This window comes from Homo sapiens, chromosome 4 (genome assembly GCF_000001405.40).
Source record: "Homo sapiens chromosome 4, GRCh38.p14 Primary Assembly".
Classification (NCBI taxonomy): Eukaryota; Metazoa; Chordata; class Mammalia; order Primates; family Hominidae; genus Homo; species Homo sapiens.
The window spans coordinates 24121507-24148193 of record NC_000004.12 but is presented as its reverse complement, the minus strand read 5'-3'; the positions used below and the strand labels follow the sequence as shown (position 1 = coordinate 24148193).

At 42.3% G+C, this 26687-nt stretch overlaps 1 protein-coding gene across 13 annotated transcripts in view, besides 2 other annotated features; it reads left to right on the top strand.

Annotated features, from left to right (window-relative positions):
• The window catches only part of PPARGC1A (PPARG coactivator 1 alpha), a 680885-nt gene that overhangs the window by 324712 nt on the left and 329486 nt on the right, over positions 1-26687 (top strand). The window contains exon 1 of one of the 13 annotated variants that reach the window (XM_047449553.1): positions 9911-9936. The exons of the other annotated variants lie outside the window; for them this stretch is intronic. The gene's annotated coding sequence lies outside the window, so the exon portion shown is untranslated. Of the gene's footprint in view, positions 1-9910; positions 9937-26687 lie in introns of those variants that run through there. 13 annotated transcript variants of the gene reach the window in all.
• Positions 9994-10288: an enhancer, noted in NCBI's record as "tiled region #10171; HepG2 Activating DNase matched - State 5:Enh". NCBI's record gives its function as "activates a minimal TATA promoter and a strong SV40 promoter by Sharpr-MPRA in HepG2 cells {active_cell/tissue: HepG2}" and the evidence as "EXISTENCE:reporter gene assay evidence [ECO:0000049][PMID:27701403]".
• Positions 10294-10588: a silencer, noted in NCBI's record as "tiled region #2780; K562 Repressive non-DNase unmatched - State 24:Quies". NCBI's record gives its function as "represses a minimal TATA promoter and a strong SV40 promoter by Sharpr-MPRA in K562 cells {active_cell/tissue: K562}" and the evidence as "EXISTENCE:reporter gene assay evidence [ECO:0000049][PMID:27701403]".

Here is a 26687-nt window from a genome sequence, read left to right as displayed (position 1 = left end):
AAGCCACATGGTCTAGTTAAAGTAATGTGTTTTTGTGGGGGGAGAAATGTTATAGAATATGGGAAATGCAAGCTGATCAGATGTTAGGTGATCTGGATTTAAGCATCCTATTGCAGTGGAAAGCATCTCTCTCTATCTCTAAGAAACTGGGGACTGGATTTTCAAATTTTTCCAGTTGCAAAAGCCATACTCTACCTCATTTCTGCTTTATCCAGCTTCTCTGTATTTTTTTTGTTTGTTTGTTTGTTTTTAGATGGAGTCTCACTCTGTAGCCCAAGCTGGAATGCAGTGGCTTGATCTCAGCTCACTGCAACCTCTGCCTCCCGGGCTCAAGTGATTCTTGTGCCTCAGCCTCCCATGTAGCTGGGACTACAGGTGCACACCATGTCCGGCTACTTTTTTGTATTTTAGTAGAGATGGGTTTCACCATTTCCTTCTGCTCATTCATTGACCAATGTGACTGCATACCCTAAATTAATAAGACCTCACTCTTCTATTGCTTAGGACTCACAGAGATGATGGTTTCTGTGGCTCCTAGATGCCCTCTCAGAAGAATTTGAGCTAATTGGCCATTGGTCAGTCTATGGGTTGTCTGGCTCTGACCTTGTGGCCATTTTCAGTTCAGTTGGCCAAGACCGGGTATAGGGATGGGCAGACCTGTCCAGGGTGATAGAGTAATTCAGGTTCTTCAGAAGGGGCTGTGGGCAGGACAGACAATAAGCTATGCCCGGTACAGCCGAGTGGGAAAGGATATAGAGAGGAGTCCTCTCAAGCGCTTAAAGGCTTTGAAATGTAGCCTGTAACCAGAGGGCTGATGCTAAGCTTGGCATTGTCTCCTCTGATTCAGGAAGCTGGGAAACAACCCCTAGCTCATGGATCCCCGGTCTCACTGAGCCCTTGTTGATCAACCCGACCTTCCGGTTCGAGCATGAGTCCAAGGGCCTATGTGACAATTTGCCTCTGCACCAGACCTCTGCCCAGTTTACTCTGGCCTTCCTGATTTCTTTACCTCTCTTGCCCTGGGTTAGAATAAGGCCAGTGTAAATGTGAGGAGGAGCGACAGTTGGTGTCAATGAAAACCCAAGACTGTCACTCCTAAAACTAGATACCTGTTCACCTGAATCAGAGTTCCCTAAAAGCAGAACATCCCTTAAAGACTGAGCAAGTCTTTATGGGGTTGTTACTTGGTGGCAAGCACTGTTCCAGGCATGGGGGCTATAGTGATGAATGTGACAGTTATATTCCTGACCTCATGAAACTTACATTCTACAGAGGGGAGACAGGCAATACAAATAATAATACCATATTAGATAATAAGTGATGTGGAAAAGAATAACAAGGAAGTGGGCTGGAGAGCCACCAGGGGTGCTTCCTCAAATAAGGTGGTCAGGGAAGACTTCTCCAATGAGAGGACACTGTCAGAAGGTGCTAATGTTTGTTGCATGAGAATCCTCCTAGTGCCCCATTCCAACCAACTCTCTTCTGACCTGCTGTTAAGGTCTGGTGTTGGCCATCATATTGATTTTATCTTTCAGGCCTCATATAGGCAGCATGCAGCTTGTCTGCTAATAACAGCTCATCTTTGGGAAAAAACGCTGATGCAGATTGGATCTTTAATATATGCCTCCTATTAGGATCTAATGACGTTGTGCCTCCCTAGTCAGCAGACCGAGGTGCCCCTGGTCCCAAGTGTAGGGATACTTGAGGTTACATGAGATTTCTGGTTCACATTGATAGAGCAGGGACACTCATCCAGAGTTTTGAGGTTCTTTGTTGAAGCTTTGATTCTCACTTTACCGAGTCCTTCAAAATGAAGACTTCACATTTGCACAAATGTGCATGCCAGTGCTGCTAGCTAGGCATGCACATGATTAATGCTAAGTAATGAACTCATATGTGTTCTGTCTGTACTTTGGTTTTGCATTAAACACTGGTTTTTCTACAGCTCTCCAATTCAACAGCCATTAAACTCTTGTTTTAATGGACTAATAGAAGAGTGACTCTTTGTCACCTTCTCAAAAGTTTCTTTGGTCCATACTTTTGGAAAACCTGACACAATGTGTCTCATCTTGGAGGTTCAGAAGACACATTCATGTTTTCTACTTTGTTACAGATTTTGAAGTAAAACAAACCTGCTTAACTCTTTTTAACATGCATTCTCAAACTCATTTGGCCTTGAAGCTGCTCTCTGGGTTATAATACCCAATAGTTGTTCTAGGCCTATGTATGAAAATACTCCTGGGACCTGCCTCTCCCAACATTGAAATGTAAGACTCAGAGAAAGCCACACGTCCTTGTGGAAGTTTCAAGCACATTATCACCCACTTACAGGCACTAATGACTTCGATAATATAGTGAAGTTTAGTATAAATAGGCTCATCATTAAAGTTGATGGCAGAAGTATAAACAAGGCCCACACTATTAAATTTGCTATTCGTTTGTTATGCGTCTGGAATTATCCTGCTGTCTCTAGCTGTCTCATACTGAGTGTTTATAAACCTAAGTCGAACGTGGTATTATTTTGTTTTTCTGTCCAACCTAGAAGAATGAGGTGATTTTTAAACATTGCCTCTCCTACAAATGGGATTACCCAAGCTGGGAAGGACAATCCTTGTATTTCCCAAGGCAGCATCTGCCATTCTGGTCACAAAGCCTTTCAGGGCATCAGAGTTTTACAGAAAACAAAAAGAAACAACTCAGCAATAGAGTCAAGGAAGCAGGTTAAGGGTTTGATGAGGTGACGTTGGCAAGACACTGAGATTTGAACTATTGTGCTGTAAGCAGAGATGGTCAAATGGCGTTATCAACTATTATCTGTTGGCAGCAATGGTCATATGGCACTATCTACCACAAAGGGGTAGCTCAAGGCACCATGCTATGAGGGTTACAAGTGCAGGGTGGGTTTGAAGCCAGCCTGGCTGGGCATGGCTGCTGGTATTAGCTGAGTGTTTTGGGCAAAGTGGTTCATCTCTTCATTCCTCTATAAAGTGGAGCTTATAGGACGGTTATGAGGATGAAATATGTAAATACATGTAAAGTGCTTACCCTGTGCCTGGCATGCATATATATGCATATGTATGTACACACACACACACACACACACACACACACACACTCATTCAACACTAGTTTTTATATAAAACAGATGTGCTTGAAACTGCAGAAGGGTATGGAGTCATGCAAGATATAAATTATTGCTGGCCCCCAAGATCCAGACTAAAAAAGTTAGTACTTTTACTAAAAGTTAAAAAAAAAAAAAACCTGAAATGTTTATTGCCTGCACAGAGCTTGCAAAGTGAAAACACACATGTCCCTGGCTGAGATACAAAATACCAAAATACCACCTCGGTGATTTTGCCAAATGTTAGCCTCTGAGGAGGGCTAACATTTATTTGAACAGACTATCTATTTTCTAGGGATGCTCACTGAGTTCTAACCTCCAGATGAGGTGACAATGAAGGTGCAAAGGAGGACAGATAGAAAAGGGGAAAGTGGAGGGAGAAGGGCAAGGCTAGTGGGGCGAGAAGGAGAGAAGTGAGTCCTTTCTCGGTGGCTCCCTCTCTGCGCTGGTCTCAAGCTCAGGTTTCCTTTCCATGCAGCTTTCTGGAGCAAGAAGCAGGGATCAGTGTCATCCCTGGACACGGTACAGCAAAGGGTCCTGGCTGTAAATCTCAGGTTGCACATCTGAATGTGAATATCCAAGCCACTGGATAACTCCCACTTGGTTTCAAAACTCAGCTCCAGCATCGCTTCTCCTGGGAAGCTGTCCTTAAAGCCATCAAGCAGGCATTTCCCTAATTTTTAATCTCAGACCTATGTATATCTCCATCAGAGTTTTCCTTAGGTCACTGAATGTCCTAATAAGAATATATACCTTTCTGAAGTTTACATTGTAAATCCTACACATTGGCACTAGTGGCAGGCATCTTGGACATTTATAATTTTAAGGTAATCAAAACAGTTACCATCTGTCCATTCTATTTGCTAAAATACATGTTAATCATCACAGGACTAAACCGTGAAGACACTTTTTTGGGATGCTCTCTATATTGCAATTGTTTACCTGCATATCCTGGCAAATAGGCCATAAGCCCCTACAGGGAAATCATTCTTCCTTCGTCATCCCTTTACCTCTTAGCACTGTGGCAATGCAGAGCATGTGGCCAGTAGGGGCTGGTTGAATGAATGAGTGAATAAGTGAAAAGCACATGTACTTGTTGTTCAGTCAAAAGCATGCTAAAGAAAACCAGTTTTGCTGCTATTTTTGCTTCAAGCTTGAAGCAAACTTGGAGTAAGACTGCCAGGTTCCTGAAATTCGTCACTGGCTTGTCCCCAATTTGCTGTAATGCCAAGTGGCGGTTCTGAGATCCTGGTTTTGCCTCTGATTTGACTTAAGCCTTCCTGACAACAGGGGCCATGTCTGTGTTATTTATAACTTTATTCCTAGCTCAGTTTTTTGCATATATGTCCGATAAATGCTTATTTAATAAAAAAGTGATCAAAATAGTTAGCACAGTCATGTAATTAAGACTACACATTTGTCTATCTATCATCTATCATCTATCTATCTATCTATCATCTTTCTATCCATCCATCTATCTGTCTAATATGTGGGCTATTTTTTGTTACAAAAGCTATTTATATTCATATCGTCGTATACTTTTCCAATTCAGAAGCTCTTCTTGCTATTCTTGCTTGATCAGCTCTTCTCTTTTTGATCCTTTTGGGTTCACCCCAAGTCATCTCCTCAGGGAGACCTTCCCTTACCATTGTCTCCTAAACTGGCTCTTCTCGATTTCAGCTATTGCTTGATTCCTCACAGCACATGTTACAGCGTGCAGTGGTGTTCACCTATTTCTTGAAGTTTATATTGCCCCCTCCCCTATTGGAAGGTCAGGTTAGGAGAGAGAGGCTGTCTGTCCCTACACCATGACATCCCCAGTGCCTGGGGCACAGCAGACTCTCCATAAATGTTTACTGAATGAACAATTAAAGAAATGAAAAACAAGAGAGTAAACATCACTCCTAATCTTCATAATTCTCCTTTACCCCAAATAACTGCTGTTAACATTTTTGGTATGTATTCTATTTTTGAAAGATACATGTATGCATGTTTTTCAATTGGTATAGTTTCACTGCATGCTGATAATGTCCTTACTTGCTTTGTTCCCCACGTAATAATAACATATTTTGCTCCTCTGTTTCTGTTACTAAGCACACTATTATTTTATAATAATCACAGTGGCTTCCTTACTGGTTTTTGAGCATCCAGCCTCAGCTATGCGCCAGGCTCAGGGCCTAAAATAGAGGTTTTAATCTCTTTTGCTTTCCCTACACCTATAATTCTAAAACTTAGAACTCTGGCCTCAGTGCTTTGGCTCATCCTACTCCATCTCTCTGGAAAGCTCTTCTTCTAGTGACCCACATGAACCTAATCTCCTTGAGGTCTTGTTAAACTATCATCTCTGTGAGATCTTCCCTGACCACCCCCTCCCCATTTTTATTTATTTTTTATTTTTTGAGATGGAGCCTCACTCTGTCACCCAGGCTGCAGTGCAGTGGTGTGATCTCTGCTCACTACAACCTCCACCTCCTGGGTTCAAGCTATCCTCCTGCCTCAGCCACCCAAGTAGCTGGGATAACAGGCACCCGCCATGACACCTGACTCATTTTTGTATTTTTAGTGGAGACAGGGTTTCACCATGTTGCCCATGCTAGTCTCAAACTCCTGAGCTCAAAGCGATCCGCCTGCCTCAGCCTTCCAAAGTGCTGGGATTATAGGCATGAGCCACCGCACCCAGCCCCCTCCCCATTTTTAAAGTCCAATCCCAGCACTCTTATTTCTCCTTTCACCACCTTGTTTTTCTCCACAGTTCTTATCACCCTCTGATGTAATATACATTTTGCTTATTTATTAGCGTTTCATCTCTACTTCCTAAAATGTAAGTACCTCAAGAGCAGGGAATTTTGCCTTCTTTTCTTCTTCCCTGCAACTCCAGTGCTTCAAACACTCTATGGAGGCTGGTGTCAATAAATGTTTGTGGAAGGAATTATGCCTCAACACTATGATGTGAGGTGCTTGGACTGTGTGGGCCATGGTGATTTAATTTGTTCCATGTATGTGGCACTACATGCTGACTCTCTTAGAATAATATTATGAAAGCTAAATAGTTCTTTGAGTGCCTCACGAAAGGTTCATAAATTAGTTTTATGGGTGATCATTTTTAGCTGGATGCCACGGTTTTTGAGTCACTATTTGGTAGCTGACTTTGTGCCCTGATTAGAAACGTGGCTCCTTTTCCTGGTAGTTGTTCTTAGAACCTATCAACCTGCAGAGATTTTTATTTTCATGGAAGGGAACTGAGTGTTTCTTTCTTTGCTTCAGACGGTCACATCTTTAGATCCTGAAGGGAGAGATGCAGCTTGCTCTCTCCAGAGTCCAAATGCAGCAACAGATTTTGCCTCCAAGCAAGCAAGATATGCTATAAAAACAAGCAACATTCCTTCACCAGCTCCTCTCTTTGAATTTTCGATGCCTCGATGGTCATTTCGAGATGACAGCTTGTAGTGAGATAGCTGTGGCATTGGAAGGGGGGAAGCATGCACCATTTTCCCTAGGGCCTTCCTGCTTTTGCTTGATAAGCAATTCCTTGAATGGCATGTTCTCCACCTCTAGCCACTTTGTTTGTAGTCCCTACTCATTAGTCTGAGATGTGCATACCTTGGCAGAGCTGGTTAATAAACCCCAGATCTGGTATTATACTCTATAAGCCCAGCAAATTTTAAGCATAGAGTCAACGCTGATGATGGTGAAGACACTTCACAACCTCCACCTGTGTCCACTGTGTAGCTGCTACTAGCAGTGAGTTCCCTAAGGGGTGGGCAAACTCTGCGTAGGCAGGGGACTGGTCATGTGAAACCTGAGGCCGCTTGGCCAAGGCCTTGTTCTCTGTGACTCTTCAATGCACCTGCCATCTCATGAGCCATAGAAGGCATCATTTTGTCTTAGTTATATTGAAGTTCCTCTGGAGCAAGGGATTTTTTTCTGCTTTTGTTTCCTCCCTACTTCTCTCCCTAACTCACAGCTCTAGGGATCCTGACTCAGCATCTTCCAGTGCACTTATGGCTGTTCGAAGCCTGTGTTTGGTGATTAGCACTCCCTAGAGTTTCCTAACTTCTGTTAGTCCCTTTGTTATCTGGAGAACTATTTGAGACGGTTTAGAGAATGGAAAACAGATATGTCTGCATTGCCAAGAGCACTCTTGGCATCCTCATTTTTGGATGGGACTGTCTCCATCTTTGTTCTCTTTTGGGGAGGAGCTGATTGGGATGGGGGAAATGTCTCCTTCTAGTCTGAAAGGGCAAGTGTCTCTCGATTGTTTCTGAGGATAAGCACATTCATCAGGAGCTGGGGGTTTGAATGAATCTTCTGAGGATAAGCATGTTCATGAGGAACTAGGGGTTTGAACAAATCCTCCTGAGTCATGTTTCTCTCAGTTATGTGAGCACAAAGAAAGAGATTCACCTTTCTTTGTCTCCCTTTTGTCAGCAGAATTCTATTTTTAGGCCACTGTCATATAATTCAGCTTTCCTTGCACACAAGTCCTGGCATTCCTTTTAGGAATTTCTAGAGCCAAGAATGGTGTCTAAGTTGAGGGCAGAGTGTATTATCATCATCCTCTTCTGGCGACAGGTACCTTTGAAGAGAGTGCTATTTTCAGAAAGTTTTCAATGTAGCATTGTCCAATGACCCGGTCACAAAATCACAGATCCTTGGCATTGTTGTGAACAAAAGAAATTCCTTGTTCCTGTCTTAAAGCAATGTGATTACAGAGCCTGTGATCAGATAGGTGACCCAAGACGAATGCTTTCCTGAATATAACTCAAGTTTATCTTTATCTGTCCCCACCTTTATCTCTGCCTGTGTTTTTTGCATTCGAAGATGGATTTATTTCCAGTCCTGGCCCTCCACCCCACCTTGTGTTTACCCTTGGCTGTGGTGCTGAGGCCAAATGCATTCTCTTACCCACCCATGCCCTTGTGGCCTAGCGTTTCACACAGATAGATGGCAAGCAGACATCAAAGGCGGGTTTTGGCTCTCGACCGAGCAACCCTCTCTCCCCATGACCTCTGGAATGGTAGGGCTGATGGTGGGCATGGTACCTGGAGAGACCCCAGCACTTTTCCATTTGTCACAGGGAAGGAGCAAACCTGTTTTCATTTGTTTGTTTGTTTTTTGGAAAGGCTTTCAGTTGGGTTTTCAGACGAACTTCTTTCAGAGATGTTGCCTTTTAGGTTTAATCCCGTGGATAATTGAGCCGTAATGGACTAGAGCTTTACAGACCTCCTTTTTGGTGCACTCAGTTCCAGCATTTAAGCTCACAAATGAGCACTTCCCTTGTGAGTCACTGAGCGTGCAGTCTGCCTGATGCTTGTGCTCAAATGCTTATTAATATGTGCGAAGGAAGTAAGTGTACCCTCATACAAGGGCACGCACAGGATGCTAACATGCACAGTCAAGAATCCTTGGGTGTCCTCAGAGCCAGGAGGATGGGAAATAAGTCCGGGGATAATGATCTTCATGTTGAGATTCTGCGGATTTCTCACTACATGGGATCATTTGGATGATATGGCATCAATTAATAGCAAAACTCTGTTTTTCTCTTCACGTATTGTCTGTAAAAAATGTTTTTTACTCAAACATTCTGAGTATTTTACATTTACAGTGATTTTAAGTCAGTTGATTTTTAAAGAAACAGCTATTCAGCAAAAATTGTCTGGAAATGTGTCATTAAGAAGTTTCTAGGCCAAGGCGGGCGGATCACAAGGTCAGGAGATTGAGACCATCCTGGCTAACATGGTGAAACCCCGTCTCTACTAAAAACACTAAAAAATTAGCCGGGCGTGTGGCAGGTGCCTGTAGTCCCAGCTACTTGGGAGGCTGAGGCAGAAGAATGGCGTGAACCCAGGAGGCGGAGCTTGCAGTGAGATGAGATCGCACCACTGCACTCCAGCCTGGGTGACAGAGTGAGACTCTGTCTCAAAAAAAAAAAAAAGTTTCTGATAGTGGAGAAAAGCAACTTAGTAACTTGCTTCTGGTTGAAATAGTTTAACACACTTTGCATCCACCATTGATTCAAAGGAAGAAAAACTGCACTGAAGAACTCCACAGAGTTTTCAAGGAGATACTGCTAATGGAAACAAGCTTCCCTTGGTGGATCACACTATCTCGCCCAAAACATAAGAAGTTAAAGGACATGCTGGGAGAGGCCGCAGAGTGTCTTGTAGGTTAAAGGAGCAAGTCTCAAAATCAATACTCTAGTTTAATAGACAGTCTCTGTGTGTTTTCAGACAGGGTGAAATGTATTCATATGCACACACTAGGATCTTTACATTCCCATGGATTTCTGCTGATGTTTTTAGTTGAACTGAGTCTGTAGGCTACAGGGAGAGCTGACCATTTTAATCACCAAAGGCCTTTGCCATTGTGAGAAGAGAAGGAGAGACAGACAGTTCTCCTCTCTTGCTTAACAAGAACAAGCAGGGACTAAATCCTGTTAGGCTTGCTAAGACTTCAGTGATTTGCAAAAGAAAGTGCATTTCATGTGATCAGGCTGGTTGCTCCCAGGCACTTAATTCTGGGGTTTCACCAGGAACAGCCAGAGGCCCCAAAACAAACAGCCCTCAAGGATTTGTGAACAGGAAGCATACCTTCCCTTGTTGACCTTAACTTATATGTTGAGTAAACAAGTGCTTGTTCTGTATACCCTGGTGTATCTAAGGCAGCTTCTAATTTCACTGCAATTGGACTGTGTCCAATTGTCCCTTTGGTTCTGGCTCTTAAAACTGCCAAGAATTGGAGGTTGAGAGAGACCTGACTTAACTAGAGAAACTGACTTGGAACAGGCTGTGGGTGGATATGCTCTCAGGTTGTGGGTGAGTTCTCTGACCTTCAGGGGGAATTAAAAGGGGGGATGCATGACCAGGTGGCCCTGTCGGACTACAGGTTAACTGCAAACCTGGCAGTGTGTTTGTTGTTCTAACTTTTAGACATCTTGTAGCTGGTTTAATCTGGTGAGCACACAGACCAGGGGTGTGGGCAGTTATATGCTCTGAACTTTGGGCTCTATGCTCACGTGACCTGGCCTTCTGGTGTCCTGGTTTTCCCTCTGGCAAGGAGCTCTTCAGGGGCTCGCATGACAATCCATAAATCTGACTGAGAAAGGTTTTTATGATCATGTTAGATGAGGGTGGTGCTTGATAACTGGGCTTGTTGTCATCATAGAATTATCAAGTCGTTTTACCTGTGTTTGAGGGGGGAAACGGGTTAGCTCTTGTTTGATTGTTTGGATAGCATTTCAGGGAAAGGATTTTGAAAAAGCTGTTTGCTTGTACGCAATGATCTGCCACTGACCCCTTGTCGGTGGCTTAGGAACATTGAAGTTACATTGAGATATGAATCTTCCCATGGCCAGAAGCCAGGAATGTCATCTAGCCTTTTGTTTGAAGCGATTCTCTATGCCCACTGTGCTGCCATTTCTTGTGGGGGGCAGTATGGACCAGTAGACTGGGCAAGGGCCTCTGAATTTTGGAAGGTGACTTTCTCTTTTTCTCACTTACTGTATCCTGTTTAGGCAATTCATCTTGTGGATCTGTTTCTCTTTATGCATCTGTAAAATGGGGTTGGGGAGAGTGGAATGGGAACTAGCATTCCTTGAGGGACTGTGCTGTGCTGAGTATCTATCGTATCTGATTGCACTGGAGATTCCTAATGCCCTGTCTTAGTTTGCTCGGGCTACCATAACAAAGTACCAGGGACTGGGTGGCTTAAGCAACAGAAATTTATGTAACCCCAGTTCTGGGGACTGGAGGTCCAAGATCAAGGTGTTGGCAGGGTTGTTTTCCTCTGAGGTCCTTCTCCTTGGTTCGTAGATGGCCGTCTTCTCCCTGTGTCTTCCCATGGCCATCCTTCTGTGTGTCTGTGTCCTAATCTCTCCTTATAAGGACACCAGGCATATGACATTAGAGCCTACCCATATGTCTTCATTTTATCTTAATTACTTTTTTTTTTTTTTTTTTTGAGACAGAGTCTCGCTGTGTCACCCGGGCTGGAGTGCAGTGGTGCCATCTCGGCTCACTGCAACCTCCACCTCCCAGGTTTAAGCGATTCTCCTGCCTTAGCCTCCTGAGTAGCTGGGATTTTAGGCACATGCCACCACACCTGGCTAATTTTTGTATTTTTAGTAGAGACGGGGTTTCACCATGTTGATCAGGCTGGTTTCAAACTCCTGACCTCGTGATCCACCTACCTCAGCCTCCCAAAGTGCTGGGATTACAGGCGTGAGCCACTGACCCCAGGTCCATTTTACCTTAATTACTTTTTAAAGGCCCTATCTCCAAATACAGTCACATGCTGAGTAGTGGGAGTCAGGACTTCAACATATGGATTTCAGGGGACACAGTTCAGTTCATGACAGCCCTCCTGAGACAGGTCTAATATTACAATTTTCAGGTGAGGAAACAGGCTGGGAAAGGCTGTTTAACATTCCACAGAGCGAGGGAGAGCCAAGATGTGAGCTCTTCTCTGACTCCACATTTCGTGCTCTGTTTTGTTGCTGTGCTTCTGCTGAAGGCGACCCCTCTCCTGAGGATGTTTGGTAGATGACTTCCCAATTGCGGCATTTCCAAGCGCTATTCTTGTGGCTCTTCACCTCTGATCGTGACTTTCGGAGAGGGTTGAGTAACTTAGAGCTTGCCTATCTTAACACTCCAGCCTCAAGATCTTACTTTGCGTGTTTACAAGTTTAGTGATACACTGTAACTCTACGTCTTTCCATGCTCCTCAGAAATCCAACTGTGGGACATGGATTGTAGAATTTAACAGATTATTCTTTGTGTAAATGGCAAATGGACTTATTACCTTTGAATGATCTCTTTATAGCCCAAGTTCACAGAATAAACCCTCATTGACCCAGTTGACTATACCCTTCATAATCTTAAAACAGTTCAATTAAGTGCCTGTACAGCTTCTCCATATGTTGGCTGGATGCGAGGTGCCAATATTTCAACACTGCTCTCTCATTAAAATGATCAGGGCATAAGCCTGGAAGATTCCAGTGTGTGCCTCACCTGGGACCTCCCCAAGGGAACCGTGCCTGCCAAGCAAAGCAGAAATAGCGTCAGGGAGGAAGCGTACCCCCTCTGCTCTCTCCCCTCCTGGATCGAGTCATTAATGAGCACTTTTTACCCTTGGCAGGGCCAGGTAAGTTTGAGAAGTGTACCTCCTGTGGTGTTTAAACGCATTCCGGTTACTCCCATGATAGCGATGCATGAAGAAGCAACATATTGACCCCCCCAGAGTATATATTAAATTCTGAAGGATTAATCAAAACTGCACCATGTTGTGTGCAATTAAACCCTTGAAAGGCAAAATAAATTTGCTGGAGCAGTAGCAGCTCTTGTACCACTTCTAGCCGGAATGAGACATTTTTCAGTTCTATTACTAACAGATGAGTTTTTGCTCAGGAGCGTCTTTCAGGAGGTGGGCTGGGCTAGAAGGAGGCATCTGCAAACATTTTGCAGATGGGAGGAGAACAGGGAGTCAAACTCTACTAGTGTTACCCTTTAGAACTGGGTAAATACCAAGCAAAATCCTTCCATCACAAGGAGCACTGAGTTGTGTCATTTTCTTACGAGAGGAGAAAATGCCAAAGAGTTGTCACAGGAGTAATGGAGGGAAGGGAACCTCAGGGGCCTGCCAGGGCTCTCCGTGGTGATGGGTGTGGCCTGCAAGGAGGGCCACTGGGAAGGATTACTGTTTACTCAGCCATGTTCCTAACTTAATGGAGATGAGGATTTGGTGTGCATTTCCAATTCAGGTAAACAAAATCTTGGAGAGCATTTTATTTTCTCCCCTCCTACAACTATGCCTGAAGCCACTCAGGATGGCTCCTCACAGAGACACCTCTGCATTCCCATTTAAATATTGGTGGTGCCAAATTGCACATAGGATAGCCATTTTGGTTTATTGTAGTTTTAATAGAGTCAATTAGAGTCTATTGCAAAGACCTAGGAAGCTGTATATTTAGTTCACCAAGGAGGTAAAAGAGGAAAAGGTTGGCACTGGATTGCTCTGGAGTGACACATGGTAGCGAAGGGGCCACAGGAGCAGTACTTCCGAGCTAGCCCTGTGAGCAGGTGGAGAATCAAAGCAGTGCAAGGTGTGCAGGAAGGGAATTAAGTAGCTCCAAAAGTCTTAATGAAGGCACAGATGAGACCAGAATTACATTTTTCTTTGTCCACTTTTGACAACAAATTTCCTGTGCCAGCCAGGTGCCAAGGCTCAAGAGAGACTTGTAAGGATGGCAAGTGTAGCATGCTCTTAAGAGCAAAAATTCAACTTCATGTTTCCTGTTCCACTGGAAAAAAAGTGAACCAAAATGCATAAGTCATTCCTATAAATAACTCAAAATTATATTCATTGCAAGAAAAATATTATGTAGAATGATGTGAAAATTTTGAATTAATAAATTCAGAAGCCCTCCCTGTGTTAAATTTAGCAATTAGAAAAATAAGGATAATGTGTTTAATTTATACAAAGTACATTTGTGATTTTCCTTCCCAAAGTTCAGAAATAAATTTTATTGGGAGATGCATTGAAAACTCTCATGACATCTGGAATATGGAGATCTAATTGCTGATTCAATGGCATTGCGAACACGCAAACATATTTCCTTGGTGAAATGTCAAAAAGGCAGCAATCAAAATGAAGCGTTTAAGCATTAAAATGAAGAAATGATGACTGGGTTGATTTGTAAACATTTATCTCTAAGCTTACTTTATGAAAAAGAAGGAATAAGTTTAGGAACATGATGGTAAATTTGCATATTCTAAGTCCTCAGTAACGTGAGGGCAGGGAAGTCTCAAGATGCATAGTGGGATCAATCAAAATTTGTATTTCCCTTAATTCTGATAACTCCACTTGGCTTTTGATATGGGGTTTATTGCAATTTAATGAAAAGCAAAATGGTGCAAAGGTATCGGAAGGAATGGTCTAAGATGGGACATTTCTCTGTCTTTGAAAGAATCACCTTTTATGTGTTTGGGAGTCATTTGCTCATTGTGATGTTAGCCGGTAACAATATTTGCTTTCACCTGTGTTGTTGAATGAGCTAGGTTAGGAGCCTCTGGTCTGGTTACCCTTGTCTTTGGCCTGACTGTGTAACCTCAACCACTTCTTAGAGCTAATTGTTATGAGGGCCAGTGTTCTTTTGCTATGATTGTATTCTGAAGGGACAGTTTAGGATTTAAGGGTAAACCTCAAGTTTGCTCCTTATTCTAGTAGAAGGAGCACCTAGCAAATATTAACTGGGACATTAACTACAGAACCAAAATGGGTTAAGCCACCCTACAGAGAAGGCAAATAAACCTGTTGCTGAATAATGTCCCCTTGTGCTTGCCTATACCAATCTCTACCTTCTAGAAAAGCGGTCCTGAAAGAAGTTTCCAATGAAAGGAGGAAAATTGTTAAATCAACAAAAATCCCCATCTAGGGAGGGACGTACAATTATCTTGGCCACTAAATGAATAATCTCCCCAAATGGTTGTATTTTCTGGGCCCCGAATTATGCCAATCATATGCAATGAAACTTCTCTTCAACGAAGACGTGATAACGAAACAAAATCTGCTTGAGGAGCCAAGTTGCTTTTCCCAGAGGCAGTGCATTTGTAAGGACTCTACTGTATTGTGCTTGCAAATAACGTTTATTTCTGTAGTGTAAATATGCAAGAGTTCATTTTAATAAAAAGTAAGTCCTAAAATAAGATAAAACCCATGACTAGACTTGCATTTGAAGATTTAGAGTGTATTCATCTGCTGGTTTTTGGCATAAATATTCATTGGTTTTGAGCTCTCAGGTGTTGGAACTTTAAATCTGCATTCAGATGGAGGCACTTTAATCAGACAGTTCATAAAAGTCTGCAACTTCCCCCCCACCACCACCCCCCAGGGGGGAAACCACCAGAATAACAGATAGAATAAAGGGTGCTAGGGCCTCAAAACCCACCAAGCTGAACTGCCTTGCTAGAAGGGGAAAAGAAATAAACACCAAATACCATTTTGTACCATAATATCAATATTCTATTAAAAATAAATCTCTTGCTTTTAGACCAAAAAGTCTCAAAAACCTGTCACTTGACTGCAGTCTTCAGAGATGACTGATAATGGGTAAAAATCCCATAGCATCTGTTTACCATGTACCCACACAAACTGTTAGGAATGTTTTTAAATGTCAGCAGTAATGTATGCATGTGTATTAGCTATCACAGAGCAATGCCACCACCAAGACAGCACTAGGGACTGTTCTAAATTGGGTAGGTCAAGTGAAGAAGGTGCCAGAGGAACCCTTTGAAAGGATGTTGTTTGTCTGAAAAAAAAAATCTGAGCAGCAAATGTTAATACATGAATACCTGGGAAACCCCCTACACCAGGTTTTGAATCAATCTTTAAATCGCAGGAAGGTTTATCTTCAAGACCCCAATGCAAAGGTCAGTTTTGGGAGAGCAGAGGGTAGAGGAAAAACATTTTGCATTAGATATATTTTGCATTAGTGGGCTCTCAGATTTCTCTTGGTAACCTAAGCACATATCAAGAGAAGAAAGTCATTGAGGTACAATCGCTGACTAAACAATGTGATGGTGACAGTGTTGTTAGCAGCTGCTGTATTACTCGAGAGTTCTGCACTGTTTAACTACTTAGAGGGAGACACTATTCATTGTCCCAGCAAAGTCACCGGGACTCTAGGCAGCCTTCAAAATGAACTTTACAGCAGTTATCGCTTTCTTCACAAAACAGAAAGAGGGTTGATAATTGATTTTGATAATGGACTTTTTTTTTTTCTGATATAGAAAGCCTCATAAAGGTACTCTGGCAGATTGAGGACTGGAAGATGTGGCCTTATAAAGAATAGGGAATAAATTTGGCTCCATGACTTGCAACAGTGTAACATCTAAGGTTTCATGTCTCTGCCTCAATCTCCTCTATTTCAAAACAGGGATAATAACAGCACCACCACCCTCACGGGGTTGTTGAAAGGATTCAGTAAGAGAATGTGTGCAAAATGTCTTCCTCGCACTCAGGAAATGCCCGCGGCCAATTCAGAGGATGGCCAGTGTGAATTGGCACAAAGCCTGCACTAGGCCATGTTTTAACATAAATATGGGTTCATTATTTTCAAGTGTGCATAAGCATTGTGCCATGCCATCTAGAGAGTTTTGCCTTAACAATCTGGTGGAATGATTTGTAATTCACATATCAGAGCTGCTGACCTCTGCTTACGTCATGAGAGGTATGTTTGGACGAAAAATGGTTCCTTCTAAAGTGCTTAAAAGAGTCAGCTTCCTTTCTGATCTCATTTTCAACATTAATTGGCTTACTAAGCTCCTTTTTAAAAGAAGAGAACCAAGGTTACCTTTAGAATACCTCACATTTTTGTTTATATTTTAAACTGTCATGTTTTAGATAATGTGGTTTGATTTTGTTTGGCTAATTACATAAATTGCAGAAGGGAAAACATACAGAATCAAAGTAAGTGGTTTCTTTCCATTTGTCCAATCTGATTAGTTGGAGAAATATTTAGAAGAATGCTTAATCTTCCTTTTTTGTGGTCCTGTATAAAGTTTCTTACAGTATGTGCCATCTTGCCGTGTAGTTACTGATGGGCACTGGCAAACATATGAGTTCTACCAGGACAAGGATCATATCTTACTTACTGGTGCAACAGACATTCTCAAAATGATGCTGGCCCTTTCTAGACACTCATTTATCTTTTGTTGATTGATTAAAGTTGTAACGGTAGAGTGGTGATAGAATTAGTGAAGTCAGTTTCTAATGCTTTTGGACGAACCAGCAGATTGTGTTTTGAGTGTTAGATATAACTTTGCTGCTCAGATTAATACTGTTTTAAACACTTCTTCAGACTACATTTTTTTTTTTTACTCATTCAACAAACATTTATCAAAGAAGCACTGTGTGCCTGGCACTGTGCTAGGTACTAAAGATAGACATGGCACCTAGAGCCAAGCCAACAGTTCAGTAGAAAGAGAAAGACATATCAGTAAAGAAGTGCTGTAAAGTTGCAGTGTGATGAAGGAGCCATTGATGAGGAAGAGGTCAGTTCTATCTGGAAGGAACAAGAAACATTTCCTGCAGGAAGCGGGTGGGAGAATCTCAGCAGGTTTTGCTGGGCACAGAGTGGTGAGAGCACTCTAGGATGAGGGGACAGTGCAGACCATATGGCTCAGCATGGCTGGAACAGAGTGAGATCAGCCTGGAGTGGAGGGTGGGGCTGGTACTCTGTACTAAGGAGCCTGGGTATCTTGTGGGTGGTGAGTGGCTGCTGACGGGTCTTCAGCAGCTTGTGGCATGGGTTAATTTCTTTTTATAGAAGCACCAAATGTTAGAACTTTCTACTTCCTCATTTGGCAGATGAGGACGTTCAGGTCTGGAGATGTGAAGTGATGTGGAGATGATGGTGCATAATGGGAAGCTTGGTGGGGCGGTTTCTAGGAGGACAGTTTATGGTCAAAAATGAGTTGGGCCTTCTTGTAAGTAGCATTTCATCAAACAAGTTATGTAATCTCTCTGAACCCCAGTTTCTTCATCTTTAAAACAGAGATAGGAATTCAATGTGTTGTGCACAGGTGGATAGACAGATATCATTGTAAGGCTCAGATGAGGCAATGCATGGGAAGGTCTTTGAAAGTGTGATGGGCTGGAGAAATGGGAACATTGTTTGTTAAAAGCCATGTTTTTGGTCTCAGATTGCCCAGGTTTGAACTTGACTTCTCCACTTTCTAACCGAATATTCTGGGCAGGCAGCTTAACCTCTTTGCCCTTCATTTCCTGGGGTATAAATGGAGATATAAAAACAGTACCTACCTCAGTGGCTGTTGTGAGCATTAGATCACAAGGCAGGTAAAATCCAGTCCCCTGAGCATTGCAAGCTCTTAATAAATGCATCCACCATTATTATTATTATTTTTTTTATTATACTTTAAGTTTTAGGGTACATGTGCACAACGTGCAGGTTAGTTACATATGTATACATTTGCCATGTTGGTGTGTTACACCCAGTAACTCCTCATTTAACATTAGGTATATCTCCAAATGCTGTCCCTCCCCGGTCCCCCCACCCCTCAACAGGCCCCGGTGTGTGATGTTCCCCTTCTTGTGTCCATGTGTTCTCATTGTTCAATTCCCACCTATGAGTGAGAACATGAGGTGTTTGGTTTTTTTGTCCTTGGCGATAGTTTGCTGAGAATGATGGTTTCCAGCTTCATCCATGTCCCCACAAAGGACATGAACTCATCATTTTTTATGGCTGCATAGTATTCCATGGTGTATATGTGCCACATTTTCTTAATCCAGTCTGTCATTGATGGACATTTGGGTTGGTTGCAAGTCTTTGCTATTGTGAATAGTGCCACAATAAACATTATGTGTGCATGTGTCTTTATAGCAGCATGATTTATAATCCTTTGGGTATATACCCAGTAATGAGATTGCTGGGTCAAATGGTATTTCTAGTTCTAGATCCCTGAGGAATTGCCACACTGACTTCCACAATGGTTGAACTAGATTACACCATTATTATTTTTATTGTTATTAAACTAGTATTCTTTCCAATGTACTATGTTGCTTTTCTTTGACCCTCTCCAAAACAGCTGTAAAGCCATCAAAGCTTATAATTGACCAGATGTACTTTCTAGACATTAGAATAATGAGCCATTTGCTAGGTGACAACATGTAGACTTTGGCATTTAATCCTAGCCCTATGGAACATTTGGTACCATCTGTAGATCTCTACCAAGTACTTCATGGAGGTCTTTGGCTCTAACTGTAGGGATAGCTAAGGCAAGTCTCATAACCTATGTGTTCTTTGGTCTCAGTGGATGGATGAAGAATTGAAATCCGAAAGATGAAATATTCCGGCTCCCAGCACTCTTTCCCCCCATTACCATTACTGTTTATTATGTGCAGTCTTGTCATTTATATGCATGCTTCAGATGACAAGAACACCCAGAAAGTTCATTTTAATCTTAGTACAAATACGATTCCTTAAAATATGGAGTCATCTTTAATTTTTTGCTCTGCTTACATGATACATTTCTGCCATTTGATGTGCTATGACTCCTCGTTGAAGTATTCTGCTCTTCCCGGTGAAGTTTGTGGGTTCCCCACCTACTCAGAGAGTGAAGGGTGTTTTGTTACTTTCTATGTCATTCTTTTGGTGAGGCTTCGTTGATTGTTAGAGGGGGTCCTACTTCATTTTACCCCAAACTTCAGATCCTTTCCTCCAATTATGGATGAGAAGTCGAATCCTATTTAGGGGATTAGGGAAGTTATCAAGGCTCTCACCTCACCAGACTGAAGCTGCTTTTAAGAGAAGATGGGGAGAGAATTGATTTTGTATTTCTAATTGTTATGAATCTAATCTGATAATACCATGGAAAATTTTAAGAAATAAAGGTAGAAATCACCCATAATGCCACACCCACACATATACTGAATTTGGCTTAATATGCGTCCATACCATTGTACACAGATGCGCGTGCACACACACACACACACACACACACACACACACACACACACACACACACTGTGACAGGCTGGAATGTTGATTTCAGCCCTGGGAGCTGACATCAGCTTTAGTTCTTTCTGTTACTGACATGCAACTTCTCAGGATTGGAAGCATGAGTCACTCTTTCAACCAAATCATAATAATCTAAAATGTCACGTATTTAGTACTTAGAATTTATGAGGCACTGTTCCAAGGGTTTTATAGATATACATCAATTCATTTGATTTTACACAACACTCCGTATAAGATATATGCTAGTATTAATGTCTCCATTTTAAAGAAGGAAAAACTGAGTCACAGGGAAGCTAAGTAATTGGCCCAGAGCTGGTGAGTGGTAAACCAGGACGAGTGTATAATGCACAAGCTCTTTGGTACCACGCTACAAAGTGGGGGATGCTGATCAAAGCATGCTCCACAGAAGCAGCAGCCCTGGACCTTCGTCCTCTGTCCCTCCTTTCCGCAGATATATATGGAGGATGCTAAGGGGAATGGGAGGTCATTCCCATATGGTGTGCAGATGCATTGACTTGGGTGAGAGGGAGTTCGACAGAAGTATTTGGGATTTGTATTTGGCATAAACACTAGCTATTACAGGCATAGAAAAAATGGAAACTAGTCTTTGTCTGATTCTATTCTCTGGGACTCAGGCTTTGAGCTTCTTATTGGTCCTTTAAGGCTGGATTTTGATGCATTTTCCTTACTATTTTTTTTCTATAATGGTACCTTTATTGAACTGCTGATGTACTAATGTACTAGCCGTGTTTATGTAACTCTTCCACACATATCTGTGAGCTCCTATTTATTGATGCTTATGAAACACGATATGATGAAGAAGGAGGTAACTGTCCTCCGGGCCCAAGTTAGTATCCTTGATTGTGGAAATTTACTCTTGGGAGAAAGGGAAAGCTGTGATGGAACTTAGGGGGTTAAATTTTTATGAAGTTCTATCTCTATCTCTATATATAATACAGTGTCTATATATATATCCACACGCGCGCACGTGTGTGTGTGTATATATATATATAAAGTTAATCATATGATTCTTGGTAATTGTACTGAAATTCTAATAACAAAAAATGATCCACCCTCATCTCATCCTCACCCCCACCAGATAAACATATTTCTAAACAATACTTCGAAGTGATAAAAAAATCTTCAGATTTGGAAGAAAACTTGATACTATGGCTTATGGCGTGAAAAGGCTATGGTTCCCCCACCCCCGCCATACCAGTTTTTATTAGTTCAACTTTCTAAGTGCGGGCAGTTGGAAACTTTTTAAATACTCTGGCCTTGGCAGCTAATGGTGGATGGTGCCATGGTTAAGAAGTTTCTCAAGGCTAATCATTTTTCAAAGGGGGAAAAATAAAAACAAAAAACCAAGTAGGTTGATAAAAAGGGCATGGTGTTCTTGATGAGGCAGACAAAACCTCACGGCATGGCTCATCCCCTCTTTTAATTATCCAGTTCATTTAGTCAGCTGTGACCCAGGACTTTGGGAGGTCACCTGCAGTATGAAAGGAAGGCATAGTGGCTGCTGACCCACGGCTTGGCTCGGGGATAGGAAATGGCCACCCAGGCCAACGTGTCCTTTTACAAATGGAAGCTGGATAAAAGGGCTGAGTGTGATGTGTGGGTCTGGGAAGTCCTCGTGATGCCCTGAGCTTCCTTGAACCTCATCATAAAAAAGTAATTGTATCTGAGAAATTGGCCAGCTAGCCAGCTTCTCTGATGGCTCATTCACTGGAACAGAGAGAGCTGAGGCTCTGCAACTGAAAGTTACAGGTAATGGCTACTAGCATGCCGCCCTTGGGAACTCATAATTAACATCAGTGATGGTGTCAGACCCCTGGGTGCACCCCACCTTTTTCCACACTTGCTGACCATTTAATACACATGGGGTAACCTTTGGGGCATCCTGCCATTATGTCTGCACAGCCTCTGGGACATCATCTTTAGGCAGGGGGAAAAGGTCAGGAAAACTCACCTAGTTCCTGCCTCCCTCTCTCTGAGACTCATATATCCTAGAGGGACTAAGAAAAGCACCTATCTCATCCTGCTACGGGCTTCTACTCAGTCCTCCTGGGGTCACACATCCCAAATAAACTACTCAGTGTCACATAGCTCATTCAAAGCCAAGGATCTAGAGAAATGATTTTGTCCCCTTGTGTAACTTTAGACTGCAAAGGGCATTACTGATTAGTTAACTTAGAAGACATTTTGAGTCCATTTACCCATGTAAAAAATGACTGTGTGTGTGTGTGTGTGTGTGTGTGTGTGTGTGTGGTGAGAAGCCAGGGCCAGTCAGTGATTTAAATTACGATTTCAGCACTCACCAAGGTGGGGAGAAATTAGTTATTGTGAAATAATGCGCGTTTGGCATCTACATGGGATTGTAGACCCAGCAAGATCTGGATCTGAATCTGATTCTGCTACTTACAATGGACAGTCACTACCCTGGGCAAGTCACTTTACTCTCTGATCCTCAATTTTCTTTTCCTTGTCTGTAAAGTGGAAATAATGATGACTACATCAATAGGTCATTGTGAAGATTAAAGAGCAACCTCATTTCAAAGCCCGCCAGGAGTTTAAGAAAATTACACTTTGAGCCCATCCTCTTCTTAGTTTGGTTTTAAGTCATAGAAGCAAGGAAAGGTGTTTACTTATTTATTCGAGGAGCCCTGCGAGACTCCTCTTGGGAGGTGGGCAGGGCAGATATGTGAGCCACATTCCTTGCAGCCTCACCTCAAGAAGCTTAGGAGCTAGTTGTCCTACTGTAGAGATAAGTCAATTTAATATATTGGGGGTATGAGGTCTCTCTCTTTCTCTCTCTCTCAACTCTTACATGAACCTCTAATCTTCTATACAACTTTTCAGCAACTTTACAGATTTAATGCCATTTTTTTGTAAATTGATGATCTCTCTTGTAAAGATAATTACAAATACAGGGCATAAGAAGTAGGGAAGGAGAAAGAAACAATGCAGGAGTGGAGTTTTCCATTGAGCCCTACTAGCATCAATGGGAGTAGACTGGTGGTTTACTTGCAGAACTGCTTCTGTGAGAAGAGAGGATCCCTGGCTAGTTATCTTTGAGACTAACAGCAGCAGCTTTGGGGTGTGGAGCTAGGGGTCTACAGCTCCAGGTTACGTAATCAGAAAGAGAGTGAATAGTTGCATGGAGACCACCTTGAAGAAGCAGATGGGGAGAGAGCCTCTCTGTGTACTCACTGTGACAAAAATGAATTTATAGGCATTTTGTTGGAGCTCTCATTGGGGGAGGACCTGGCAAGTTTCTGAAGAGTCCAGAATGAAATGATAAGTGGGAGTTAATTATGTGATTCCCATCACTATTAATTTAAGATGTATAAAATACCATTGTTGGACTCTATATAACTTGGGCTCATTATTCTGCCTAAAGTTTGAATTGATCATAAAATACATTTTGAGATCTTTTCACTACTCTCAACTGCAGGCTCTCTAACCCAATATTTTCTATGAAGCGTTAAGTTTCTAACCCTGAGTTTTAGGAGTTTCCTGGATTAATTCTTATCCCATGTTTTCTTACATTCAAGGAGGGAGTGTGAAGTATTTACTCTGAGAAATTGCAAGATCCAGGGAGGTTTTCTGAAATTCTTGTGCTCTCTTGTGTTTTCCATAAATCTGAGACAGTGATATGATCAGCAAGCTTATTTATGTCTGAATACAAAACAAGAATAAAATTTAAGCAGAGCAGTCTCCTTTTCTAGCATCTCCCATCATAGATTGAATATGACTCTCACAGCCACAGTGGACAGTCTGCCTACTACTAGATATTGATTAGTAATTTAGTTTGCAGTAAATTGTTCTCTGTACTAACATTTGCATCTCCTTCCTAAAAAAAAAAATGCTTCTACCTTCAGCTTCCTCTCCAATGTCATTTGAAGACTGTACCTGTCCAGCAACTAGGAGCTCCCTCTCCCCTGCTTTCCAGAGAACAAGTCACTTCGGCAAAGACGCATAGCTTAGGGTTTCCACGCTGCTCTGAAATGACACCCAGATTGCAGGTCATGCCATAGACTGTCAACATAAAGTGTGTGTTGGCACCAATAGGATGACTCTTCAGGAAGTGATAACTTTAAAAATGTATGATGAGTACCATTGAATTAAGACAGATGGGCTGATTTGTGTTATTCCTAAAATAACTGGCAAGTAGGTATTTATCTCATTTTACAACAGGACAAAATTGCTTTTGGAGTGATTCATTTGTGATCCCAGCTAAGCTGTACTATTAATTTACTTTACTTCTGACTAGTGTATTTGCCTCAGTATTTATTGTGTTTCCCATCAGTATTGTCAAACTGTGGTGCTGCTGTGAAACCTCGACATTTGCATTTAGATTATGGGGTTATGGGTTAGCATTGCAAGATAGTGTATCCGGCTATCGTTTGGTTTTTGAAGGTGGTATTCACAGCCATTTCTGACATCTTTCCTTGGGTTCTGCATGTAGAAAGAGCCCTAATGGTTATTATAACCCTCCAATAGGTTCTCCTGCCTCTCATCTCTCCCCGTCCTGTCACCCAATCTCAATACTTTTGCTCCAGTAAACTTTTTAACATGCAAATTTGATTCTGTCACAGCTGTTTTTTTTGTTTTTTTTTTTTTTTGCCAACTTAGATTCCTATAGGAATCAAGCTTAGCAAAGGCATGAAACTGAAACTGCTTGGGTATGGTGGGGCTTATAGAGACTAGGAGAGCACACTCCATCTGAAAAGAGCAATGCTACTCCAGCAAATGGAAAAGTCAGCCCAGCTTCTTACGGGAAGTCAGAGATCCAGGTTTAAGCAGAATGACTTGATTTTGAAAATCTTTCACAGGCTAAAAAAATTGCATCTGTGCCTAACCTTGACTTTGAACCACTGACTTACATTTACCCACTGGTTCCCCCATTGGACCTCAGAATAATGTCCAAACTCTTTAGCATGGAATATGCAGCTCCTTTTTTTTAACCTCAGTCCCGACAAGAACGATAGTGGAATATGCAACTCTTGATAATCGGGGCTTTGTCTCTATGCTTATTTTCTGCCTTACACTCTATCCATGCTACTATCCATACTATTCACAATGAATAAGGCTATAGTGAAACCTTCCAAGATGCAATGTGTGGGTTCCAAAAAAGTCAACTGTGTAAAACAAGGGAGAGGGAGCATTAGCTGTGAGGTGCAGGAAATTACTGGGGAGACCCTCTACAGCTAAGCTCTTGGGTTTCAGGGATCTTGCTGCAAGATCCAAATCCATCCAGTCCCATCTGTAGTTTGGTACTACCTGGTGGCAGAGGTCTGTTCTGGCTTGGTTGTTGAATGGAACAATTTTGGTTGGCCAGGACTTTCAGGGATAGCTGCAGTGATTCCAGGAATCTAGCTAGTTGTCATCTGTTTCATTGGCTCACTCTGGAGCAATTGGGTTGGGAGAATACTTGACAAGTGGGGACCTACCGTCAGCCTCTCTTCCATGGGCATGACCACCAGTGCGTGTGTTTGCACACACATGCACACACACACACACTCAACAGAACTTTAGCCTTCCCCATTTGAGAACTGGGGCTGAAGGGAGGATGAGCCAATTCTAAATTATGCCCATATTCACATTATTGCATGACATGTTATCCCGGGGTCTTCTTGTGTCTGTAGTTCCTCAAATTGCCAGCACCTTATTGCATTTAGCCTCTGGGCCTTTCTAAGGGCTGTTCTCGCTAGTGGCATCACTCTGGTTAATTCCTCTTAATCATTTAGGATTCAACTCCTATTCAGTCACCTCCTTGAAGACATCTCTAAGCCCTTAGTTGGAGTCAGATACTTCCTTTTCAGAATTCTTACTTCATCTGAACAACTTATTACATCTCTCTAATTGGTATGTCCCATTTCCATGTCCTAGGCTAGTTCTGAGTTGCTCAGAGAGCAGGGACACTGTTCTCCATACCCATTTCTTTTCTCAGTACCTTATGGTACTTAGCAAGTGCTCATTAAATGTGTGCTGAATGATGGGATGAGTTAAAATAAAGTGTAGCCAAATGGCTGCAGAAAAGTTTACTAAGAGTGAAGCAAAATTTATATAGATCTCTCTCTCTCTCTCTCTCTCTCTATATATATATATATATATATGCACACACACACACACACACACACACACACATACGCATACACACACATACGCATACACTCACAGAGAGGCTAAGAAGTTAGAGCACCTTCCTCTCTACCCTATCCACCAGTGACATTATTCTGTATTTTAGTTTTTCTCTAAACTTCCTGGCCCAGAACAAAGGGCTCCATGAGTGAGTTCTTTCTTGCTGCTTCCTGGCTTGGCCTGAAGTCAGACACAGCAGAAAAGAGCCTCACAAATAGGTCTGCTCTCACCAGCTCGCCAGCCAAGTTGTGAAGACCTGATCTGCTCGTTGAAGTTCTAAGCACACTGTCACACCGAACCCAAACCCTTTGCTGTCCACTTCCCCTATTCCCCTGTCTCATGTATTTCTGTTTATCCAGCTCATCCCTTTTCTCTCTCAACTTTTCCACTCCCTTTGAGTCAGCATCAGTGACGCGCTCTTCCCAGTCACTTCGAGTCTTGAATCTTGCTAAAATGAGGTTCTCAGGAACAAAGGGAACTCGAGTTCAGGGTTAAGATGCTAAAATCAGATTGTTCTCCTCTGGCAGTAAATTGGTATGCCACTCTCACCACTGCCGCAGATAAAATTAACCATGCGTTGAAATCATTGCAATAGGCAGTGTCATCAAAGCTTATTTGTAATGAAAATATGATGTTTCAAACCTAAACTCAGGAGTATAATGAATGTAGGACCATATGTTCCCCTCCCACGTAAGGCTGCAGAGAGGAGATGCTATTTAAAATATATAGCTGTGTATGGGCCTCGTGGTTTCCTCTGCATTCCTCTCCCCTGGTCACCTGTGGTTGTTCAGAAAGTGTGGAGGCTGGATCTGAGGTGCCTAGAACCGGCAGGAGTGGCTCCTGTGTCCAAGAGGGTATGGCGGAGGTCTCTGGCTTGATCAGCTT